At 36.1% G+C, this 24,979-nt stretch overlaps 1 long non-coding RNA gene across 1 annotated transcript in view, besides 1 other annotated feature; it reads left to right on the forward strand.

Annotated features, from left to right (window-relative positions):
* Positions 1-24,979, forward strand: part of LOC105377975 (uncharacterized) — a 295,277-nt gene that overhangs the window by 69,325 nt on the left and 200,973 nt on the right. The gene's annotated exons all lie outside the window — the stretch shown is intronic.
* Positions 3,402-3,903: an enhancer, noted in NCBI's record as "NANOG hESC enhancer chr6:119943697-119944198 (GRCh37/hg19 assembly coordinates)". NCBI's record gives its function as "activates a minimal SCP1, AML or CMV promoter by ChIP-STARR-seq in naive H9 embryonic stem cells {active_cell/tissue: H9 hESC(naive)}" and the evidence as "EXISTENCE:reporter gene assay evidence [ECO:0000049][PMID:30033119]".

Genomic DNA, 24,979 nt, shown 5'->3' on the forward strand with positions numbered 1-24,979 from the left:
TCTCAGTGAACTGGAAAGTCCATCTCCCCATAGATATGTTGCCCAATTTTGTTGATGTTGTTCCTCTCAGTAATTTCTCTTTATCCTTTGACTAGAATATGGAATGAAAATATGGGGAAAGAAGGTGGCAGAGAGCCTTAATTGACAAAGATCCCATTTCCATCACCTAGCAGAATGGGCACTCAAAATATAAAGTAAATTAAGCCATAAAAGAAAATTATTTCTCTTGAACACCTAAGATTGTTGACTTAAGATTAACCATACTTGTTACAAGTGGTAGCCTGTCCAGAATTTCTAAGAATCCTCATTGTCACCCATCTCTGAACCATAGACTTATTATAAACCTGAGTCCAAAGTCACCTAGAGGCAATGGATGTTATTCCGTGAGGGATTTCATGTGTGACAGATGAGGGGGACTTAGGGGGTCACTACAGATTTCAGTGAAAATTTTAGTATGAAATGTCCTAGATTTCCCTTTCAAAGGAATTCGTAGATATAGGAGAACTGGCAAAAAGAAGGAATGTAGAAGGTGATTTTTAAGGCTATCATGGACTCTGAATTTCTAAAATAGCTAAATCTCTTCCTGGCAAAAGAAGAATCCTTCTAGCAGTGTCAGCTAAACTGCTCCTCGCCGCCCATTGAATCTGCTGTAAGCATACCAGCCTGCATATATGGGGAGAGGCATTCATTTTATGATATGTTTTTTCATTTCCAGAAATTATTTTTAAACGTGTTCTTCCTCCACTTAAAATAGAATTTGTAAAGCATTCACTGCCACAGGACAAAGCACCAAAACACAGAAAGGAAACTTGGGATTTTTAAAATCTAGGCTATTGAATGTCAAAAGTCAAGACTGCATAGTAGGTCCTGACCAAACAACAGATTCAGAAGAATATGCATTTTATTAATAAGAACTGTTTTTCCCAACCTAAAATCTAGATACATTTTTCCAAATGAGAGGCAAGGGTAAGAGGCAAAGGTATCTGTAGGGCCATAAGACAATGTAGATTTTATTGGGTCCTTGTGAAGGGGCATCGTGTTGGCCTATCTTAAACAGTCCTGTGCATGAGATATATAATATGATGACAGTGGCTTGAACAGTGGTGGAAAAGGGTCGTATATGGACATGTTTTAACAAAATAGACAACGAAATTTGCATACGGATTGAGCAAGTGGTGTTAAAAAAAAAAAAAGAAAGGAGTCAAGGATGACCCTAAGGTTTTTGACTTGAGTTTTAGCAAGGAATTGCTAACATTTGTGCCACAGAAGGCTGCAGGCAGAAGCAGATTTTTTGTTGCTGTTGTTTTATTTTTTTGGTGAGGGAGTGAAGATCAATGATTTAGTTCTAGGCAAGTTAAAAATGAGGTGGTCATGGCCGGGCGCGGTGGCTCATGCCTGTAATCCCAGCACTTTGGGAAGCCAAGGTGGGCGGATCACGAGGTCAGGTGATCGAGACCATCCTGGCTAACGCGGTGAAACCCCCCGTCTCTACTAAAAAAAATACAAAAAAATTAGCCAGGCGTGGTGGTGGGTGCCTGTAGTCCCAGCTACTTGGGAGGCTGAGGCAGGAGAATGGCGTGAACTCGGGAGGCGGAGCTTGCAGTGAGCCAAGATTGCACCACTGCACTCCAGCCTGGGCCACAGAGTGAGACTCTGTCTCAAAATAAAAATAAAAATAAAAATAAAAATGAGGTGGTCATTAGGTATCCAAAGGGAGTTGTTGAGTAGGCAGTAGGCCAGGAGTCAACATAAAAATTTGAGAGTCACTGTCATATAGGTAGGGGGTAAAGCCCTGAGACTGGGTAAGGTAGCCAAGAAAGTGAATGTAAATAGAAAACAAAGAAGAACAAAGAAACACATCATGGGACATTCCAAAATTCTGAGGTGTATGGAAGAAAAGGATCCAGTAAAGAGGATGGAGGAAGAGCAATCAGTGAGGTAACAGGAAAACCAGGAGTCCCCTGAGGGACATACTCACCCAACAACCCCCACACTCTAACACTTTCTGGTGTAATCTTTATTACTTGAAAAGAAGCCATTTTATACATAGGAGGAGAAAAAAATGGAAAAATGTTGCCAGTCCTCCCTACCCCAGCCCCAAACACACTTTGCTGGTTTTCCATGAAAATACATGGATTTGTGGGCTGATTTTGTCTATATAAAACCCCCAGGTCTGATTCAGTATCTGCTCTTGGCAGATCAATCTTTCTGTTTGCTGCCTGCCTTCTCCATGAGTCACTGGTAGAATTTTTTGTGGCTTTAGGAGAGGCCTCTCATAATTCAAGTCCAAACGATGAATACCTCAGTCTTTCTATATACTGGAATTGTCTCATGCTACCGTTTCCGGACATTTTTACAGCTCTGCTTCTTGAACTGTTTCTCGTCATGAAGTTTCCTAAACACATCTCAAAAAAGGATCTCCCATTCTTAATGAATTTTCTGCTTCTAGAATAAACTTGATTTAGTTAAGACAGATAATGTTTCTCATTCTTTTTCCCTTGTAGTAACTTCTTGTTTAGGTACGTTTGAATTCTACATATAAAGAGCACATGCTAACAAATTATTACTAAATCTATTGATTCAATATCTGAATGCAATATTTAAAAAATAAGATAGACTATTTAGAAAATAAATGAGGATTAGAAGTCACGCCATTTTCTAGTATATTATGGAGGAACATTTTATCTGAATGAAAGAGTTCTTGAGCCCAATGGCTCAAGTGGATGCATCAGAAGCCTTAAAGGTAATCAAATGGATTCTGACGCTTATGAAAAGTTGACTTCTAGAGAACAGAATGCCCTTTGCTGGCTCACTGATAAGGCAAAACTAGTAACTATCAAAAGCATTCCCTGCCTGTGCAATCCTTTGTATTTCCTCCATGCCTTATTTTGACCTTTTTGCCCCTAGGGAATAATACATTTAAGAACTAACATCATTTTACAAAAGGACAGAGCCATTTCTCTTCTTTTTATGCACAAATTCAGTTACCAATATATTCAGAACACAAATAACTGACCCTGAAAATAGAAAAAAACAATCTTTTAAAATCTTTCATAGTATTAACTATTTGTGTATTACACAGAAGTGTGTCTTTCAATGCATATAGCAATGTTGTCATTCATTTGAGCTCTGGAAGGAAAGGATTATGTCTCCTTCATGCGATTTGTAAAATACCTAAGCATCGTATTTTACCTCTACTTGAATTAAAATATAACTTAGTGATGACATTATGCTTGTATACATTAATGATATTTAATACTGCATTGAATAATAATGGGTATTTACCTGTCAAATGCAGACCATGTCTCTTTGTTTGATCACCATTTCTACACAAGTTAATAATTAGGATGATTTTTCTATCTTTTCTTTGCAGAAATTGCCTTCAAGCCTTAGCTAAATCTTTAGCTGTATCTTGTGCACTGTGACATAGTCTATGGCACTGGAGTCTGACCATTATAGTATTTGCCAAGCAGACACAAAGGTTAATTGAAAATCTGTAATAGCTACAATACTACACGGACAAAATCCTCATAGCTATTTTCTTCATTTATAAAGGCTTGAGCCTGTCTTACCATTAATGTCAGAAGCACAAATGATTCCTCTGAATGGGATTTTAGAGCACAGCAATCTGCAAAGAGGAAAGAGTTGATGCATGTGGATTGCTTTCCAGGAGGTATGCAATTCTTTTCACAGGCTTACTTCAAAAACGCCTTCCTTACATTTGCTTACAACAGATAAATATGTACTAATAGTGGAGAAAGAAATCAATTGTAAGACTAATGTAAGGTATAAGTAAGTCACATTTAGGTTATCTTGCAAATCATCAACTTTTAATTAGGCCTTTCAGATGATGTTCTAAGATGAATATTCAATTTTGTATGTGAGAACAAAAGGTGCCGTGACCAAAAATAAATAAATAAATAAAACAACGAAAAACAAAACAAAACAAAACAAAAAAACAAACAACAGAACTAAACTGAGAGCTCACAAATCTTGAGCCTTAGTGTTTTCATGATGTTTTCTCACATAATACTCGGAGAATTCACCCTCTGGGTTGAGACGGTCAATTGAGACTTGAAAGGCTCTGATTTTGAGATTGTTTGCTTACTGACATTTGTTCTTGGCTAAATCACAGAACCAGTTCTGCTTTATTTTCTCATGATAAAAGAAAGATGATCCTTGACACCTACTTAGCTCATGAGATGCCATTAGAGTACCTTTGATTAATGTGTTATTGAAGAACGTTTTTGATATCTTAAAAATCTAGGAAAAAGTCTCTATTACTGTTATGTTGTTGCTATTGAGTTTTTGTGTATATAGGAAGAATTTATGTTAGGTCTATACTTGACTCTATAATTCTTTGAAAATCACATGAACTACAATATACTCTTTGTTTTATAAAGAACAACTAATGTAGAATATATGAAGTCAGGAAGAATTGCCCCTTGTGGCAGTCCATTAATTAATCAAATATTTTTCTTATCCTTCTGCTTAAATTTGAAAAGTATTTGCTTCTTTTAAAATCCCTAACTAGTTCCTGTCATCAGTTTGAATTAGAGCCTTTAACTTCACAGTAGAGAAATTGCCATGTAAATACTTTAAGTTGTAAGTTACCATCTTAAGCCAACAAGTGATTATCCTTCACAGTAGAGCTACAAATGGTGTCTTAATTAATGAATATCTTAAGTGCCTTTCCCTGTTTCTGTGACCTAAAGGAAGAAGGCCTAAATAGATGAGATAATCTCTCAGAAAAGAAAAAAGGAAAACCGAATAAAATACATCTGAGAACTAATCTCAAGTGTGCTCAAGACAGTCTCTCAGTCATTCGATTCACCTTGCAATTTGAAACATTGTAATGCTTTTGTGCTATTACTGCCCATTTTGAGTGTTTCCTAAGATTTCCATTTCTTTTGTTACTACTTTACTGCTGAGAATTGCTTTATTCTGCGATACTGAGATTATTTTTCATTGTGCTTTTCCTTACAACTTCATAACTGTAGAATTTGTTCCCCTCAGCAGAAACTAGTTCCTTGTTATTTTCCCATCTTCACTTATTTCCAATATACTAGTCAGCCAGGCAACCAGTAAAATGAAAGGCCTGTTGGCATCATTATGTGTGAGAATTTCTATGGGAAAGATTTTCTTTCACTCACTTTTTTTTATGGTGCCTAAGATGAGGACATGAGGCAAAAAACTCAAATTGGATTTTTAAAAATAAAAATATAGGAAAAGGCACCAGCTCACAAACACAGGAGTCTAAAATGCCATCTTCATTCTCAGAACTGAGTATAGTTCTCAGATTGAATTCAAAGGGTTCTTCTTTTTGGGGTCAACTCAGCTTAGAGAATAGAAGGCATCATATGGAACAGGCTCTAAATCAATTATACCAATCAGAGTTTGTAGTGGAATGGTTTAGAAATAATAAAAATCTAGATTAACTGAGACCCAGTTAACTGGAACTTTCAATTATCCATTTTTTAGTCTGCTTTTTCTCTTTTAGAAGAATAGCTAAGTGATGATTAAACAAACTTATAAAGTTAAAAATCCTTTCTTTTGTTATAGTGGAGGAAAATAAGGCCTATGGCCTAATGATTACTACCCATTTTTCTGCCTAAATTCAAAGTTCTAGCAACTATCTCTTATTAGAGATGTGTTAGAACAGGAAAACTCCTAATTTGAAGATATCAAAGATCATTATAAAGTCAGTCTACTTATCTATAATTTTACAGATATATCTGCCATACTGTACAAAAGGGACTAGACAAGGTGCCAAGACTGGATTGAAGGTCTACCACTATCTAAGTGGCACTGGGCAAGTGACTTCCCTCCTGTATCTATCAAAGTCCTCGTCTGTAGAATAAGGTTGATCCTATCCCTTTCAAACACTAAAATGATTTTTTGAATCTGGTAAGCACTGATCTTCAGAACGGTCACCCCACGGCACTGCCAGATTCTCAACAAAGATGAGTGATTTTTTTGATTCACAATAGTTATAATGTATCATGTGCCAGGGAAATTGCATACATCATCCTTTTTACAGAGAAAACAGCTCAGAGCGGCTAGATAACTGAACCCATGTTCACCTTGCCAGTTACAGCATCAGAATTGGGATAAGGACCCAGAGCTAAGTCTTTTTCACAAAATCAATAGATACATCCCAATGACTCTGTTGAATTTGAAATACTGAAATGGGAAATAAATATGAATGTAAACTAAAGATGTATTGAAATACCCATTAAAATCCCATGAATTTGATCTGAAGTTTAGGGATTGCAGGAAATAGTGTAATTAATTCAACATAAATCAACGATACAATATAATGTGATAGGTTTTTAATAAACATTTATTCAGTTTCAAATATACAGTTATATAGTTTGAGCATCCAAATAGGTGTTACTGCTTCTAAATTATGATTACTTGCTTCATTGTTGTTTGGAATAGTCTTAGAGGATTTTATCTAAAGCCAACAACACATTTAAAAAAATGTACCAGTCTTGATGAAAAATTCTCATCTTTTGAAGATGACTTATATTTTGATATTGGTGAAATGTTGATAAATCCCTTAAGAGAAAAGGCTATATCTTCCTTGTGTTATGTCTCACCATGCCTATCCTAGTGTCTTTTACTTTATAGACAGCCAGTAAACAATTTTTAAAAATTTGATTTTTTTTTTTTTTTTACCTTACTAAAGTGTGAGAACTTTGTAAAATTCTCACTTTTAATGGATTTATATGGCAGGGCAAGGAGAGTTGTTTGGGATAAGACATTATGTTTGTTATTTTGATTATATCCAGGAATATTCTTTTTTGTCTTTTTGAGAAGGAGTCTCCCTCTGTCGCCCAGGCTGGAGTGCAGTGGCGTGATCTCGGCTCACTGCAAGCTCCGCCTCCCGGCTTCACGCCATTCTCCTGCCTCAGCCTCCCGAGTAGCTGGGACTACAAGCGCCCGCCACCACGCCCGGCTAATTTTATTTTTGTATTTTTAGTGGACACAGGGTTTCACCGTGTTAGCCAGGATGTTCTCGATCTCCTGACCTTGTGATCCGCCCACTTCGGCCTCCCAAAGTGCTGGGATTACAGGCGTGAGCCACCGTGCCTGGCCAATATCCAGGAATATTCTTAAACCACTGTTAGCAACTACCAAAACTGAAGTACGTTTTGTCTGATATTTGTATCTGGATCCACAAAGGCAGGTTTCAGAGGCAAGAACAAATACTTGCCCCATAGAAAATGGGTTTCCTCAGCCTAAGTATGCAACAATGGATGAACAGATTTTGCAAATGTGATTTGTATACACAATGGAATCCTATTCGGCCTTTAAAAATCAGGAAATTCTGTCATTTGCAACAACATGGATGAACCTAGAGGACATTATGTTAAGTGAAACAAGCCAGGCACAGAGACATGAATACTGTATGTTCTCACTTACGTGTGGAAGCTAAAAAAAAGTCAAACTGATAGAAGCAGAGAGTAGAACAGTGGTTCCAGGGGTGGTAGGGGCAGGGGATTGGGGAGTTGCGTGGAATATGGAATATGTAGAAAGAGGAGATGCTGGTCAACAAGTACAAATTTATAGTTAGGAGCAATAAGTTCTGGGGTTCTATTGCACAACAAAATGACTATAGTTAATTAAAACGTATTGCATATTAACAAAAGAAAATGGGTTTCCTTTTTATTGGAAACATGAAAATAATACATTTACTATTTATATAGTCTTTTAGGTCACAGATGCATAGTGGGCCTTCTCATTTTCCATGTGACTCATTAGATGAAAAGCGTGCAATAAAAAATTTAAATTAAAAATGGCTGTTTATGCCAGGAGGTTAGCTCACCTTGTGAAAATCCTAAGGATGACCTGAGGATGACTTGCCTTGTAAAAGCTGCACTTGTGGGTTCTACACCTGTTATGAATAGGCAGTGACTTTGTCTATCTGTGCTCAAATGTCATTCCCAGAAACAAGCTCATGTAGGCCACAGGACACCTGAGCAATTTAGACCTAGGCCTGAGGGACAAGACATTTTCTTTGATTTTACTTGATAACAGTCACTCCCCCTTTATTTTCTCGTGGGCAAAACAAACCCAAATGTATATTTTTTATGATGGTGTTTTAAACATTTCAAATTATTTATTGCAGGTCTGAAGGATTTTAAGTAAAGGTAGAACCCTCAGAGATCCCCATGATCCTAGAAGGACAAGAAGAATTTTTAGGGACAGAGGACACTACGTTATTTGCCACTAAAGGAGAATCACATGATTATTTTGCAAACTGAAAAGTCATATGCTCATATTTTTCCTCTGGAAGAGTCCAAGCGTGGGTATAAGGCTCCCATTAAGGTTAATCTTTCTTAAACAGAGCTGGAAGGGTCAGAACTGCTGTGGCAGATAGGCAGATTCTGGGTGTTATTCCTCCTGCCTGTGAATCAGCACATTCTATTATGTTTGAAGGAATCACATTTTGCTGCTCCTGCAGTCTTGCAGCATTTCCAATTAAAAGTGCCTGCTCTACTGAACAGGTTTTGTAAGTTTTCAAAAGACACTTTTGTGTTTATTTTCCTTAATTTGTGTTTTTAAGGTCTTTTTTTTTTATATTGCCTTTAGCAAAGTAGTAATATGGAATGCTTATGTATACTGCTGCCAAAGGGCTTATAGCAGGAGTACGTGGTTTCTTACACAAATAGATATGAAACATTTGTTGGAATCTAGGAAGTTTCACCTGGACCAAAGGCTTTTTGAGGGCAGTGTTTGGAGTGAAGGCATGTAGATTGGGGTGAACGTCGATCTAAGACAGATTTTAATAAGGAATTGGAAATATTGAAGTACAATTCAGGAGAGAGTAGGAGCTGAAGCTGGAAGGAGTGAAATAAAAGGAAGCAGTAACAGATAAAGGAGAATCTGAAATGAGCAGAGTGGAACTGAAAAGGCCAAATTGTGGGGAGACTTGGGCACCTATCAGTGAATTGAGACATCTGGGGCTGACGAGATCTGACTCAGTCACTGCACTTATTTTCCCAGATGTTGCAATGGAACACAGGGACATTAAGGCATTTTCCCCAGATCATATGATTGAAGGATGATGGACTTGGGATTCAAAAGCAGGAGATCTGAAACAATTTTACTTTCACTGTAAAAAATGCATTTGGGATATGTGTCCTGCGTTATACCGTCTCTATTTTGATATGAAATTCCTCCATGATCATACTCTCATTTGTGCCCCTTACTGCCAGCAAAAAAAAAACTTCATTAGCTATTTGTGTTTGATACGTCTCTTCATCTTGAAGAGATTGTGGGTATTTTCTGCCTTCTACCTTTCCTGTGCTGTGGGATGATGGCCCTCTGGTGATGATCTCACCTTATGACTCAAATTCCTGCAACTCCTTTCTAAGAGTAATTAGCCTGGGACCTTGTTCCTAAGCTCAAACCCCAGGCTTTCCCTATCTCTCTGTCTCATTGCTGCATCAGCCTACTTCTGACAAGTAGAATATATTACCAAAGGTAGCAGAGGGAGCAATAATTTGAATACCTTAAAGAGAAGGAAATAACCTTATATGCAGGCAGAGGGGACTAAATTAATATTGGGGACCAGCACTATTTCCCTGAGAGATGATTTTTATTTGTTTAACAGTGTTTATGCATAGGAGTGTTATTTATAATAGTTTCCCTTAGAATACCCCTGAGTTCTCTTTCACCTTCTTAATCTATTTGTTTGATTATGTTGGCTTGGCAGGAGAAAGTGTTTGAACACAGTAATGTTCAAATATTCTTATTTGAAAAACAAGCCAGCAGAACAAACTATACCCGACTTGTGTTACTACATTCATAAATCTCCTTATTTTGAAAGTCATAATATGTTTATTACCACTGCCCCTTGATCTCACCCACTCCAAGCTTTTGCGAGAATATAAAGGTTACTGTATGTTAGATACAAGAGAACGCAATACTGTACATTTGTTTCACCAATTTATTGCCATAATATGAATAATATTAAAAGGAAATTGCTGGTCAACAATGGTGAATAGATTGTTAGAAAAACTCTTCAGTAGATAACAATTATAAACACTGAACAAAATGAACACACCACACACGCGCGCGCACACACACACACACACACCTATTTAAAGGCATGGAGGGCAACCCTAAGCAGGCAGCAACTGAAGGTATTTCTGCCTTAAAAGAGGGCAAGTGCTTAGAGTGCAGTCCATATTTACAAGCATCTTTCTCCTGAGGACATCCCATTGAGTGTGGCCTGCAAAGAAGCCAGAACTCAAGGAGAAAGCTGCATTTTTCTCAGCTTGAAGTGTCAGTGGCAGAGTTTGGAAGTGCAAGAGAGACTGGTAATTAAAGAGGAAACTCCTGGAGTAAATGGAGCCCTCAAATCTGAATATAATTTCCCTAAAATACTTGGCTGAACCCTACAGAATGCTTTTAGAGGACTCCAAGCTCCAAGGAACTCAGCAGAAAACCACAGATAGAGAGCAAAAAGGATTTATGAGGGATTTTAGCAGCTAGATGTCACAGATGAGAAAAGGTTGATGTTTGAATCCCACCAAATTAGAGCACCTTGGTAAAGTAAACCAAGCCTCCGCAAGTTCAAAGTGATAAGCCAGTAATCCCACTGCCTGTTTGAATACAAGTCAATACTCTTTACAAGAAGAAAATAGAATTCAGTGTCTGAAATGTTTTATCTAAAATCTCCAATATATAATAGCAACGATAAGATATGCAAAGACATATATGATTCATTGTTGAGGGGAAAAAAAAGCAGTCCATAGAAACAGGCTCAATCATGACCAAGAATTTGGAATTAGAAGACAGGGACTTTGAAGTTGCTATTTTAAATACGATAAGGATCTAAAGAGAAGGTCATAATGGTTTAAGAGACAAGGAAATTCAAGTAGAAAAGCATAATTGACAAAACTAACCAAATAGAAAATTAAAAACACAAAACCCACAATATCTGAAATAAAAAATTTACTGGATGGGCTTAATTGCAGAGTGGAGAGAGATAAAGAAAGGGTCACCACACTTGGAGATAGATCAACGAAAATTATCAAATGTGAAAAACAGAGAGAAAAATTATTGAAAAACAATCCAAGGCTCTTCTAATCTGTGAGACAATATTAAACAGTCTCACATACTTGTAATTCAATTTCCGGAAAAAAAACAGAGGCTTTTCCCTAAAGGACACTCCCTTTTCTGGTTATCAATAAGGCAGAACCCAAACTGCTGTAGTCCAAGTTTGGCCAAAAACTTTAAAAATTTGTTGAAAAATATCAGTTTAGAAACAAGAATCTCAGCAATAATTTACATAGAATAAATACAAATAAAACTATATAGAGGCACATGTGGAATATTACTGAAAATAAATGAAAAAGAAAAACTCTTCAAAGCAATGAGAGATAAAAGACACATTGCCTATGGGTAAACAACTGTATGATTATGATTGGATTCTTATTAGAAACAATGGGGACTAGAAGCCAATGGAATGACATTTTTTAGAACCTTGATCAAATAGTATTTTTATTTTTAATTTTTTAATAATTTCAACTTTTATTTTAGATTTAGGGGGCACATGGGAAGGTTTGCTACATGGGTATATTGCGTAATGCTGAGGTTTGTGGTACAATTGATCTCATCACTCAAGTAATAAGCAGAGTACCTAAGAGTTAGTTTTTCAACACCCTCTACCCCCTCTAGTAGTCCCCAGTGTTTGTTGTTCCCATCTTTACGTCTACGTGTGCTCAGTGTTTAGCTTCCACTTATATATGAGAACATGCAGTATTTCATTATCTTTTCCTGCATTAATTCACTTAGGATAATGGCCTCCAGCTGCATCCACGTTGCTGCAAAGACATGACTTCATTCTTTTTTATGACTGCATAGTATTCCATGGTGCATATGTACCACATTTTCTTTATCCAATCCACCGTTGATGGGCACCTAGGTTGATTCCATGTATTTGCTATTGTAAATAGTGCTGTGATGAACATACAAGTGCATGTGTCTTTTTGACAGAATGATTTATTTTCCTTTGGATATATACCCAGTAATGGGATTGCTGGGTTGAATGGTAATTATATTTTAAGTTCTTTGAGAAATCTCCAAACTGCTTTCTACAGTGGCTGAACTCATTTACAGTTCCACCCAAAGTGTATAAGTGTTCCCTTTCCTCTGCAGCCTTGCCAGCATCTGTTGTTTTTGACTTTTTAATAGTAGACGTGGAATGGCATTTTTAATGTACCTAAAAATGTCAATTCAGAATTCTATATCCAGTAGAAACACTTGTCAAAAATGAAGATGAAATCAAGATATTTTCAGATATATGGAAGCTGGGAAAATGCATTGCCAGCAGATCTGCACTACGAGAAATGCTAAAGGAATTTCACGACAGGATACAAGATGCAACTGATCTACAGGAAGAAACAGCACAACTTAATAGTATATGCAACAAAAATACAAAAGGCTGTTATTCTCTTTTTACAATAAAACTGACTGTGTAGAGCAAAACCCATTACATTGTTTTGTGGAGTTACGTATATCTTATGTATGATAACAAAACCAGGGAATCAGGGTTGGGAGGGGGAATTATAAGGTTTAAAGTTTTTTTTTTTCATTTTCCATGATGTGGTATAATAACTCTAGGTAGACTATGGGGAACTGGGGATACATATTGTAATCCCTCAAGCAACCATTAAAAATAATACAGAGCGTTAGGGCTAAAAATCTCACGGATAAGATAAAGGGTACTATTTAAAAAATTCTGTTAACCCAGAAGGGCAGAAAAGAAGGAACAGAGAAAAAACAAATAAGACAAAAAGAAAGCAAATAGAAAAACAGTACAGTTAAAACCAACCATGTAAATAATTACATTAAATATAAATTGATTAAATATTTGGATTAAAAGTCAGAGATTATCAGAATGGACAAAAAACAAAACCTAATAATATGTTCTATACAAGAGACATACTTTACATCTAGAAGCATAAATAAGTTTAGTCAAAGGATAAGAAAAGATATGCCATGTCACATTAAACATATTAAGATGAGAGTGGCTATTTAAGTATATCAGACAGAGTAGACTTCAAGATAAGAAATGTTACCAGAAATAGAGAAAAACATTTTACAATAACAGATTAATTCATCAGGAAGACATAGGAACCCTTAATGTGTATGAGTCCAATACAGCTTAAAAATGCATAAAGCAAGAATGGACAGAACTAAAGAGTGAAATTGAAAATGTCAAATTATAACTAGAGATTTTAATGTATCTAAGTAACTGATAAAACAAATAGACAAATTGTAAAATGATAAATAACATTATCAACCAACTCAACCTATTTGACACTTATAGAGCATTATATACAACAATGCAAAATAGTCATTCTTTACAGTTGCAACATTCAATCGAATGTTCACTAAAATAGACCATCTTCTAGGTCATAAAACAAGCCTTAATATATTTTGAAAGATAAAAAATTATAGAATATGTTCTCTGTCCACAGAAAAATTAAATTAGCATTTCATAACAATAGATAGCTAGAAAAACCCTAAAGACTTGGAAAAAATCACTTCTAAATAAAACATGAGTCAAAATAGAAATCACAAGGGTAATTATAAAATATTTTAACCAGATGATAAGAAAAATACAATACATCAAAATTTTGAATGGAGCTAAAGAAGTTATTAAAGGGGAACTTATAGCTTTCAAAGCTTATAAAAGAAAAGAAAAAAGGCTTAAAATCAATGCTTCAAATTTCCTCTTGAAAAATATAAAAAGAAGAGCAGGTTAAACACAAAGTTCAAGAAGGAAACAATAGAGGTAAGAGTAAAATCAATGAAATAGAAAATGGACAAATAATAGAGAAAAATCAAGAAAGTAAAAAGTTGCTTATTTGAAAACATTAATATTTATTACAGGTTAAATATCCCTTATCTGAAATGCTTGGGACCAGAACTATTTTGGATTTTTAAATATTTGCATATACATAATGAGATGTATTGGGGATGAGACCCAAATTTATTGCAGCTGAAGGGGCTGGGAAAGTCTTTTTCCCCTGGGGATGTTGAATAAACTGTGTGTTTTGTACCTGCATTTTGACTGAGATTCATCACCTTAGGTCAGGTGTGGAATTTCCACTTGTGGCATCATGCACTCAAAAAGGTTTGGATTTTGGAGCATTTCAGAGTTCAGATTTTCAAATTAGGAATTCTCAACCTGTAAACCTCTAAATCAATGTATTAAGGAAAGAAACACATATTACCAACGGAAGTAATAAAAAACAGGATGTCACTACAGATAGCATAGATATTAAAATATAATAAGGGAATATTATAAAGTTATGCCAATAAATTTAACAACTTAAGTGAAGTAGACAAATTCTTTAAAAGCACAACATGCCAAAACCAACACAAGAAAAAAAAATCTGATAGCCCTTTAATGTTAAAGAAAAACAATGGATAATAAAATTCCCACAAAGAAAAATGCGGTTGACTCTTGAACAATACAGGTTTGAATTGTGTCAGTCCACTTGTACAAATATTTTCTTTTGCTTCTGTTACCAATGAGATAGCAATAACAACCGTTCCTCTTCCCCCTCTTCCTCAGGCTACTCAACATGAAGACAACAAAGACTTTGATGATGATCCACTTCCGCTTAATGAATAGTATATATATTTTTATTCCTTATGATTTTCTTAACAACACTTTCTTTTCTTTATATTATTTTATTGTAAGAATACAGTAGGTAATACATATACCATATAAAAAATGTTAATTAGCTGTTCATGTTGTTGGTAAGCCTTCCAGTCAATGGTAGGCTATTAGTAGTTAAGTTTTGGGGAGTCAAAAGTTATATGTGGATTTTCTACTGCATGAGGCAGGTGGCACTCCTAACCCCCAAATTGTTTAAGAGTCAACTGTACAGGCCCAGATATTTTCACTGCTGAGTTTTATAAAACATTTAAGAAAAAAGTAATATCAAACTTACCAAACTCTTTTGGAAAACTGAGATGAGGACACTTCACAACTCATTTTATGAGGATACCACAACCTTGAGACTAAAACATGATAAAGATATTACCAAAAAATTATGGAACTAATATTGTGTATGGAAATTCCACAAAAGCCCTTGACGAAATATAGCAACTTGACTCAAATGATGTATAAAGAAGATCATACATGATGATCAATGAGATTTATCCCAGGAATATAAGATTAGTTTAACATTTAAAAATCAATTAACGTAATTTACATCTTGACCACATAAAAAAATAAAATTGAGTATCTCAAAATACACAGAACAAAGTATTTGATCAAATTAAACATCAATTCAGGAGTTAGGAATAGAAGGGAATTCCCTTAATCAAATAAAAGACATCTACACAAAACTACAACTACAGCTAACTCCATACTTAATGGAAAAACGTGAAACATTTGATTTTAAAAATTGGGAACAAGTGTAGTTTTTCTGCTCTCACCTTTTTTGCTTAACATTGTACTGGAAGGTGTAGCCAGTGCAATAAGTAAAGAAAAAAATTAACAGTATACAGATTTTAAAGGAAGATGTAAAAATGAATCTATTCACCAATTGTCCACATAGAACACCTTACCACGAAATCTACCAGAAAAAAAAAAAGCCAAGCCCCAAACATACAAGCAAACAAAATATCAGCAAAAACAAAATATGATTACAACTTACAAATATGTTTAGCAAATTCTCAGGATACATGGTCAATATAAATAATAAATTGTATTTCTATATATTAACTGCAAACAATTTAAAAATTCAATTTAAAAAATTTTATTTTCTAAAGAATCAATAAAAATAAACATGTTAGGAATGAATGTAACAACGGGATATCTAAGGCCTCTTTACACTGAAATTTATAAAACTTTGCTGAGTGAAACTTAAGACACTTCAAATAAATAAAGGAGCCTTACCATATTCATGGATTGGAAGACTAATAGATTTAATATTATCTCTCTGAAAATCTCAGCCAACTTTTTAAATAGAAATGGACAAGTTGATTCCACAATTTATATGGAAATGACAAGAACTAAGAATAGCCAAAACAATTATGAAAAATAACAAAGTTGGAGGACTCAAAATACCGGATATTAACTCTTAATATAAGCTATTGTAATTAAGACAATATAGTACTGGAATAAAGATAGATAAATGATCAATGTAACAGAACAGGGAGTCCAGAAATAGGTCCATAATTATACATTCAAGTGATTTTCAACAAAAGTACCAATGTAGTTTAATGGGGATGGGCCATGCTTTTATAGCTGTGGGGCTGGAGCAACTGGATACATGTATCAAAACAAATAATCCTTGATTACTGCTTCATAACCCACACAATAATTGATTTAAATTGGATCAAGGCTTAAAGGTAAAACTAAAACTATGACGGTTGTAGAAGAATACATAGACAAATATCTTCAACATCTTGTGCCAGACAAAGTTTCATAGACAAAATAGAAGGTACTGAAGATGAAATTAAAAACTAATAAATTTTACCAAATTTTAAAAATGTTTGCTTGTCAAAATACATGCTAAGAAAGTAATGACAAGCTAGTACAATTGGGAGAAATAGTCTTAACACATATATCTACCATCTGGACTTGTATCCAGAATATATAAAGAACTCCTAAAACTCCATAATATATAAAAAAAATTAAAAATGGGTAAGAGACTGGGATAATTTACAAAAGAAGATATACCAATGGTCAATGAGGGCATGCATAGATACCCAACATCATCAGGTGACAGAGAGATGCAAATTAAATAATTTCATGCCCACCAGGATGGCTAAAATAAAGAAGACTAATAATTGAAAATGTCGGCAAGTATATAAATTAACTTGAATAGTCATTCAATGTGGGAGGGAGTGTAAAATAGTACGACCACTCTGTACAACTTCTGTGCCAGTCTCTGAAATAAATATATGACCCAGCAATTCCAATGCTAGGTATTTACCTAAGATAAATAAAAGCCTATGTCCAAAAAAAGAATTGTACAAAAATATTTAGTGGCTTTATTCATAATAGTCTCAAAATAGAAACAACCCAGTGTCCCTTTGAGTATGCATAAACAAATGTCACAGTAATAAAATAGAGTACTACTCAGCAATAAAAAACGCTAACTGCTATATATGCAATGACATCACAAAAAACTTTATGTTAAGTGAAAACGTCAGTATTATATGAAAGGGTACATATGATATAATTCCACTCAAATGAAGTTCAAGAAGTAGCAAAACTGAGATATAATACAAATTAGAACAAATGGTTGGTTGTGGGGATTAACTGGTAGGGAGTGCATGAGAATTTTTTGGAGTGATGAAAATGCTTTATAGTCTTGATGCAGGTGTTAGTTACACAGCTGTGTGCATTTATCAAAACTAATTTTTTGTACACTGAAGATTCATGAATTTTACGATATATAAATTTTAAAAAGAAACTCTTAGTTTCCTGTATGCTAGAACCAGCTCTAGACCTGCATTTGATTAACTAGCTATCCAATCCTTATTTGTCTGTGTCCTGTCTGATGTTTATAGATCACACTTAGCACTTTGCTGAGGGCTTTTATATGCACTGTGTGGTTTAATCATCATGGCCTCATGAAGTAGGTGTTGTAGGAGCTTTTTCCATCTGACTGTCCACACCTGTTGCCTGACTTGGCCTCTATCACCTGATCCTATTTCTTGCACTGGTTTTACTTGGTTCACTCTAATTCTAAAGTCCGCTGAGGGCCAATCAGACAAAATTTGTTTTCCTTATCAGTTCAATAACAAGGAATGTCAAACTCCTTATTTAAGGGGCTTTCTCAATTGAATGCTGACTTTCTACTGTCCAAATCACTTCATCTTGCTCTGCCTCACCTTTTCTGTTTTTAATGAGGCAGAAATGCATCCTTACTGAATGTGTGTGTTGAGGAATACGGAAACAATGGCTTTCAATGGTGGGATGAAAAATTACATGATGCCGGGTGCGGTGGCTCACGCCTGTAATCCCAGCACTTTGGGAGGCCGAGGTGGGCGGATCACGAGGTCAGGAGATCAAGATCATCCTGGCTAACACAGTGAAACCCCGTTTCTACGAAAAATACAAAAAAATTAGCCGGGCGTGGTGGTGGGCGCTCGTAGTCCCAGCTCCTCGGAAGGCTGAGTCAGGAGAATGGTGTAAACCCGGGAGGCGGAGCTTGCAGTGAGCCAAGATCGCGCCGCTGTACTCCAGCCTGGGCGACAGAGTGAGACTCTGTCTCAAAAAAAAAAAAGAAAAGAAAAAAATTATGTGACTATCTATAGACATTTCGAATATAAACTTTTATTGTTTATTAATAATAATGACTTAGTTCATGCTCTTTAACACCAAATAGCACCAAATTTGTACAACCTAAATATCTAGTAAAAAGAAAAGACTGCCTTTACTGCTATATTTGTAGAAAATTCCAAAATGACTGCATGCTTTCGAAATGGACTACAGCTTGTTGGGGTGATTTCTCTAGAAGCCAAGTTTTAGGAAATCACTAAATAAAAGAAAGAGATTATAGCTGAGCAGCAAGATAGAAGCCTCGCAGCCAGCTCCACACGAATGGCTTCTGGATACATAGAGGAAAATAGCAATTTCCCATCTCACTGAGGGGGGAAACAGGCAAGTGGTATTACATTCTCCTGTGCCTAATCAGGAGACCAAAACAGGAAAAGTTATGTATTCTCATCAGGAAAGCTGTTGGGTGGTGTGGTTGATGAGGGACAGATTATGACTTTCAAAAGAGGGAAATTTACAAATGTAGTAACACAAAGGTAGTGACAGATGCAGAATCAAAGAACCGCAGGGTAGAGGGAGGTTTTTAACCGTTGCTTATTAAAATACTGTGTGGGAAGTGAGAAACTTTTCATTCTGCACCAACACATTCATCTAAGGGTATTTGTCTTTGTGATGCAAAGGAAGCAAAATCCTGTGATTCTTAAAATTTTCTACCAAAGGCCTCAACAGTACGTGAAATCACACATTTATTCAGGAATCTAAGGTGAGGGTAACAGAGGGACAGAGGAGAGCATAAGAAGTGGTGGAGGGAAAGGATAGAGTCTACAATGATCCTATGCCAGTGGGAAAGTTTCTTGAAATCCTGTTTATCTTTAAAAAGTTACATAAATAGCAACACATTTAATATAATCCGATTATTATTAGATAATGCTTTAAATTATTCTCAAAGTTAACTTGTTACATTTGTCATGTGGATTATTTTTTGGTATCTTAGATTAGAAAACTGGATGAATGTATTATCAATGGTCTTCATTTTCCTGCTAAGCTTTCCCATGCTTTAAGAGGACCATAAGAAGTCCATGTTGTTTCTTTTTCTACTATTTCCCTAATGTGCCCAACCTTGGACAGGTGGGGGTGATGGTTGGGAGGTGGGTGTGGTAGTGGTAAAGGTTGGAGGGCAGGCAAGCAATAGAGAGTGAGACCCAACTTCTTCCAGTTGTGTGTCCCTGACATCCATGTTTTCCTTCCACTCATCAGTGCTGGCAAGTGAGCTGGTTGAGACAGCTTGGAAATATAACTTTAAAATTTATTGCTTAATACTGATGTCATCCAAAATTATCAGAAGGAGCTATAGATCACCAGTCTCAGGATGCTTTCTCGAGCAACAGGCTCAAGTTAGCCTTTTATAGTATGTCATATTCCTTTTTTTTATGGCATCATTCTTTGTCTAGACACAAATTCTTCCCAGATGGCTCTTGAAGACATCATCCATAACTACATTTCATTTGCATCTATATTTATAATTCTAATGTGGGTAGCATAGGTGTGGATGCTATAGGCAGGGAAAGCAGCAACAGCACACACACAGAGCAGCTTTGCCTGAGCCTTTATGTCTATGTGATCATTTTCCATGATGATTTTGCTTCTCTTACTCTGTGATTTAAAAAATGAAAGTAATTTCACTATTCTCTCCTTGTCCTCTCTTTGTTTGGTCTTATTCCCTTGTTACGGCCTGCTTACAGATCTTCTTTCTCTGTTTCTCTCTCTATGCTACCTCAAGGTCAGCATAATTTGAATTTTTTCCCCTGAATTTACTAAGTTAACTTCTATACTTGAACCTTGATGCTTTGTCTTTCTTGCTCTAATATATATTTTTCTTCTCTGATCAATATTTCCACACAACAGTCTTACATGTGTTACAGCAGCAGCTATAATAATAATAATAACAATAATACTTTCTATTTGTGAACTTTGCAGGCACAGAGTACAGTACTTGTGTATACAATATTTAACAAATAAATGGATAATGATGTTTAACAAATGGATAATGATAATAGCCAACACATATTGGGCATTTATTGTATGCCAGACACTCATTACGTGTATTTATTTAATGTTTATAACTTTTTGAATTTACAGTAATTATTATCATAGATTGCAGACAAGGAAACAAACACAAGGAATTTAGCAATTTATAAAGGGTCAGAGTTCTCACAGCAGTAATTGTAGAGCTGGGATTTGAACATAAGTCAGTTTGATTAAATATATTTTGGGTCTGCCACCATCAACACTAGTTCTAAGTGTATTATGATGGTGGCCATCTTGATTGTTCTCTTTTATAAGGCTTTGCTAAAATAGTCAACAGTGAGTTCTGGTAATCAAGTATATTTTAATTTCCCTGTGGATTTCTCATTGTAGTATACCAATAGTCTAAAAATTAGAGATCGCTATTAGGAAACCTACTTATGTTAATAGGCAAACAAATTATCAGTTCAGTGTTTACTTGAGTCTTCAAGTAAGAATGTATTCAGAGATTGATGATGCTATTGAATGTGCTGTCATAAAATCATTGACTTTTACACCTGAAAAGAATATTAGATAATGATGATGATAATAATAATAATAATAGTAATAGTAATAGTAATGATAATAATACCTGCCAGGCATACCAAGTTTTCTATATTCTGGGTCTTTTGTGATGATCATTATATACATTGTTTCATTAAATTCTTAGAATGACACTATGAAGTAGGCTATCATTTTGCACTATGATGATTTTACCAGTGAGAAAATAGACTTGTTATAGTTAGATAACTTCCTAAGTGATAATTGGCCAAGCTGAGATTCAAATACTGCAGAGCTTGTGCTCTTAAACATTGTTATTTGTTACAGTTTATTATACCCACAAATTTTCACAAATGCTAAAGTTGATGTTTAGAGAAGTTACTTGGCTTTTGCAGACCCTAAAGCTAGTCAGCATCTGCATCAGTCTGTTTTCACACTGCGATAAAGAACTGCCTGAGACTGGATAATTTAGAAAGAAAAGAGGTTTAATCAATGCACAGTTCTTCAGGCTTAACAGGGAGCATGACTGGGAGGACTCAGGAAACTTACAATCATGGCAAAAGGTGATGGGGAAGCAAGCACCTTCTTCACACGGTGGTGGGAGGGAGAGAGAGAGCAAGGGGGAAAGTGCCATACACTTTTAAACCATCAGATCTTGTGAGAACTCACTATCATGAGAACAGCATGGGGGAAATCAGTCCCCCATGATCCAATCACCTCCCACCAGGTCCCTTCCCCAACATTGGGAATTATAATTCAACATGAGATTTGGGTGAGGACATGTAGCCAAACCATATCAGTGTCTACCACTGGCTTTTAGTTGAAGATTTTTCCCATTACTGGTCACATTTTCTTTCACGCCACTTTGCTTTTTCAACAAAGCTTCAACTATTACCATCTTCTTCAATCATTCTTTCAACTAATCCAAAACTGAAGGTTAGGTTTATGCAGAGAATAAAGTATAATAGAGAATACATAGATGAATATGTCCTCTAAGATATTATAAACTAATTATGATAGAGAAAAAAACTATATAAGCAGCTAATTATGCTTCAAAGCAGAAAGAATTATACAGTATATTAAAAATCCAAGCAGTCTTAAGTTGGACTTGGAAAAAGTATTCGGATGATGTGGAATTTGAAATGAGCCTTGAAGGAAGGGTAGGGAGTTTGAAGGTAGGGTATTCCATCCAGATAGTTATGGATGAGAGCCAGCTAGGTGCTGTGAGAGGCACAGAGGCAGTCCAAGAAATAATCTGTCATCATGAGGACATAAATGCTACCTGATGAGGCAAGACTTACATATGTGGCATGAAAGTGCCCAGCATAGTGTTAAAGAGCTGTAGAAGGTCAGAGACAGATAAATATTTGAGAGCCAGAGTAGCCAGGGAAGGTCTACACAGGGAGCAGAGCCTGAGTTGAACTTTGAAACCTTGAAAGATAGGCAGTAGTTTTACATGAGAAGAGGGGCAGTGCAGGCAAGGGGAGGGTCCCAGGTACAGTCAGGTAAGAGTGCATGAGGGTGTTGATGGCATAGTGAGCAGACACACAGTAGTGTGTGTTTGTGTGTGTATGTTTAGGTGGGTACACACAGGTGATGGCTAAAGAATAACTGTGACAGACCAGAAGCTGGGTAAGTGATGCCAGCAGGCAGTATGACAACATGTTAACAAGTAGAGATGGGTGACCTAGTGCAGTGTTCTGTAGACTACAAAGTAATGACAGGTCCTGGAGAAGGTTATATAGCCCTGAGTGATCGCAGCTTATGCATCCATCATGTGAGTGCTGCTGGCTGAGTGTAATCTTGTTAACATCTTCATCTTTAAATAAGATTAGGAAAAATAGTCCATGGCAATACAAGTTGTTTATTTTTAAAGGCTATCTTCATTTTTTTAATAGAGAAAAAATAATATTGTTATGTGCAAAATCTAAACATACTGGAGAAGTCGGTATCAGCTTACATTACTTTTTCATCATTATTCATTCACACGGTCTCTAATACACTTGAATGAAAATTTAAATTAGATCACTAGTGATAATGATATTTGAATTCTGGCATACAAAAGTAGTGGAGTAGGAGAGACAGCAGAGAGACAAAACTGACTTAGGTTAAGAATCTGTTATGAGGAGTGTTAGGAGCTGACAACCTCCATCTGCCACACTGTTGGGATCTGCTTCAGCTTTCACTTTGAGACCATACTCCCATGAGCTGCTCCCAGCTGATGCTTGAGCATAGGGCCTGGAAATTTCTGCCCAATATGGGGCTTCTATATGTGTGATCTTTGCACTGGTGTTTCCCATTGGGTTGGCTCAAACTTTCTCAAAGCCCTACTGTATCTGAGATGCTTCCTAATGAGTCCCCCTTCCTCCCCTCTCTCCTTTTGCAGGTATCAGCTTTGCATCTTGGCCTGAAGGCTTTCCCTGATTACTTCTACTTCCTATCCCCCCAATCAATCTCTTGCCCTTGAATTCTTTCTTGATATCTGTTTGCTAGAGGACCCAAACTTACCCAGCATCTTTGTGATTATATAAATCAAATAAATAGAGCTATAGTTGAGAATAGAGGTCAGCAAACTTTTTCATAAAGGGGTAGCTAGTAAATATTTTAGGCCTGGTGGGCCACACATGGTCTCAGTCATATGTTATTCTTTATTTTTTCTTACAACCTCTAAAACTGTAAAAGCCATTTTTAACTTGTGGGCTGTAAAAAACTGGCAATAGTTTGCCTACTCCTGATATAGGGTATAAGGCATTTAATTTTAAAAGTATTTGCTTATTTTCTCCATGTTTCAATTTTACTAACTATAAAATAAAGCTAGATCTGCCCACTAAGCTCGCAGGGACTTTCTTTTAGCTTTATCAGTGGCAGTGAATAATTTCAATCTGGCCTTGGAGTCTGAAGAAGGAGACTGAGATGTGGTAGAAATTCAGGAAGTGGAGGGGGTGCCAATGAAAATATGTGGATCTAAGGCAGGTAATCTCTGATGAAGAGAGAAAAATCATAGAAACAGAAAAAGTGAAATTATCAGAAGCCCTTCCTTCCAAAACTTCCATAAGCCAGCCATGCATGAGAACTTTGAATAAGAGGAAAGGCAGGGCGGAAGTAGAGAATAAGAATGGATGGAGAAAGAAAGGCAAGGAGACAATGAGAAGGGCAAGAAAAGGGAGAGAAGTAGAGGCTGTTATGTTATTTTATTTTATTTTTACATAACAAAATGGTTGAGAAAATATAGAAATAAAAATATCCAACCTCTGGGAGTGGAGTAGACAACCTAAAATTTGATTGAAAGGAGTAATTGTCCAGAAGTCATATTTTTCACTGCATAAAAGTAGCTCTCTGGGAAGAGAGCAGTATGTAATGGAACCCTGATTAAAGTCAATTATAATAAACTCAAGGAACATATTCTTAATAATTCAGATTTGATGTCAATGTTAGCTTTCAGAAAATTGATGCTATTTTAATGACAGCCATTAGAAGAAAAAGGGATTTAGAGCACTTAATAGAACACTGTACAGAACAGTTCTGTTCATTCCCTCCAGGAAAATGTATCAGGATGTAGGAATCTTTGTTCTCTATTAAATGTCATAGGGGAAGGAACATAGGGTGTGGTTTTAGACTAGAGGATATAAGTATGAAACCAAACCAAAGCGAGGGTCTAAATGGTATTAACTCTGAAGCAGATGCCTGTTGTGCTTAATTACACCATTTCCTTTTTCTGGGCACTTAAGTTGGGGCAATACCTCTGAGTTTTAGCTAGTGAGATGAAGGCAGAAATGTCCCTTAAAACATTCCTCTTGACCTCTCTCTCCACTACTCTCTACTTCTGCAGTGATCTTGAAGGTCAAGCATTGCAGTTGGAATAGCTACAAGTTGAAGGAGGGCAGCCCTATCAATGCCATGCTATGTCCAAATGAGAAATAAATTGAAATTAGACTAAACCAATAATATTTTGTGGTTTATTTGCTACTTTAACAGAGGCTAGCCTATAGTGACCAGCAGAGATTCTGCAGGCATGAAGCCATGGTCAATGACTTGCTACACGCGGAGCTCAGGAAAATATTTGAATGTTACATTTGGTAAGCCAGCGTGGTTAAAGGGGCACATACAGGGCCGCAAGAATGCCTTCTGTTGAAAAGCAGATTA

Source organism: Homo sapiens, chromosome 6 (genome assembly GCF_000001405.40).
Source record: "Homo sapiens chromosome 6, GRCh38.p14 Primary Assembly".
Lineage (NCBI taxonomy): Eukaryota > Metazoa > Chordata > Mammalia > Primates > Hominidae > Homo > Homo sapiens.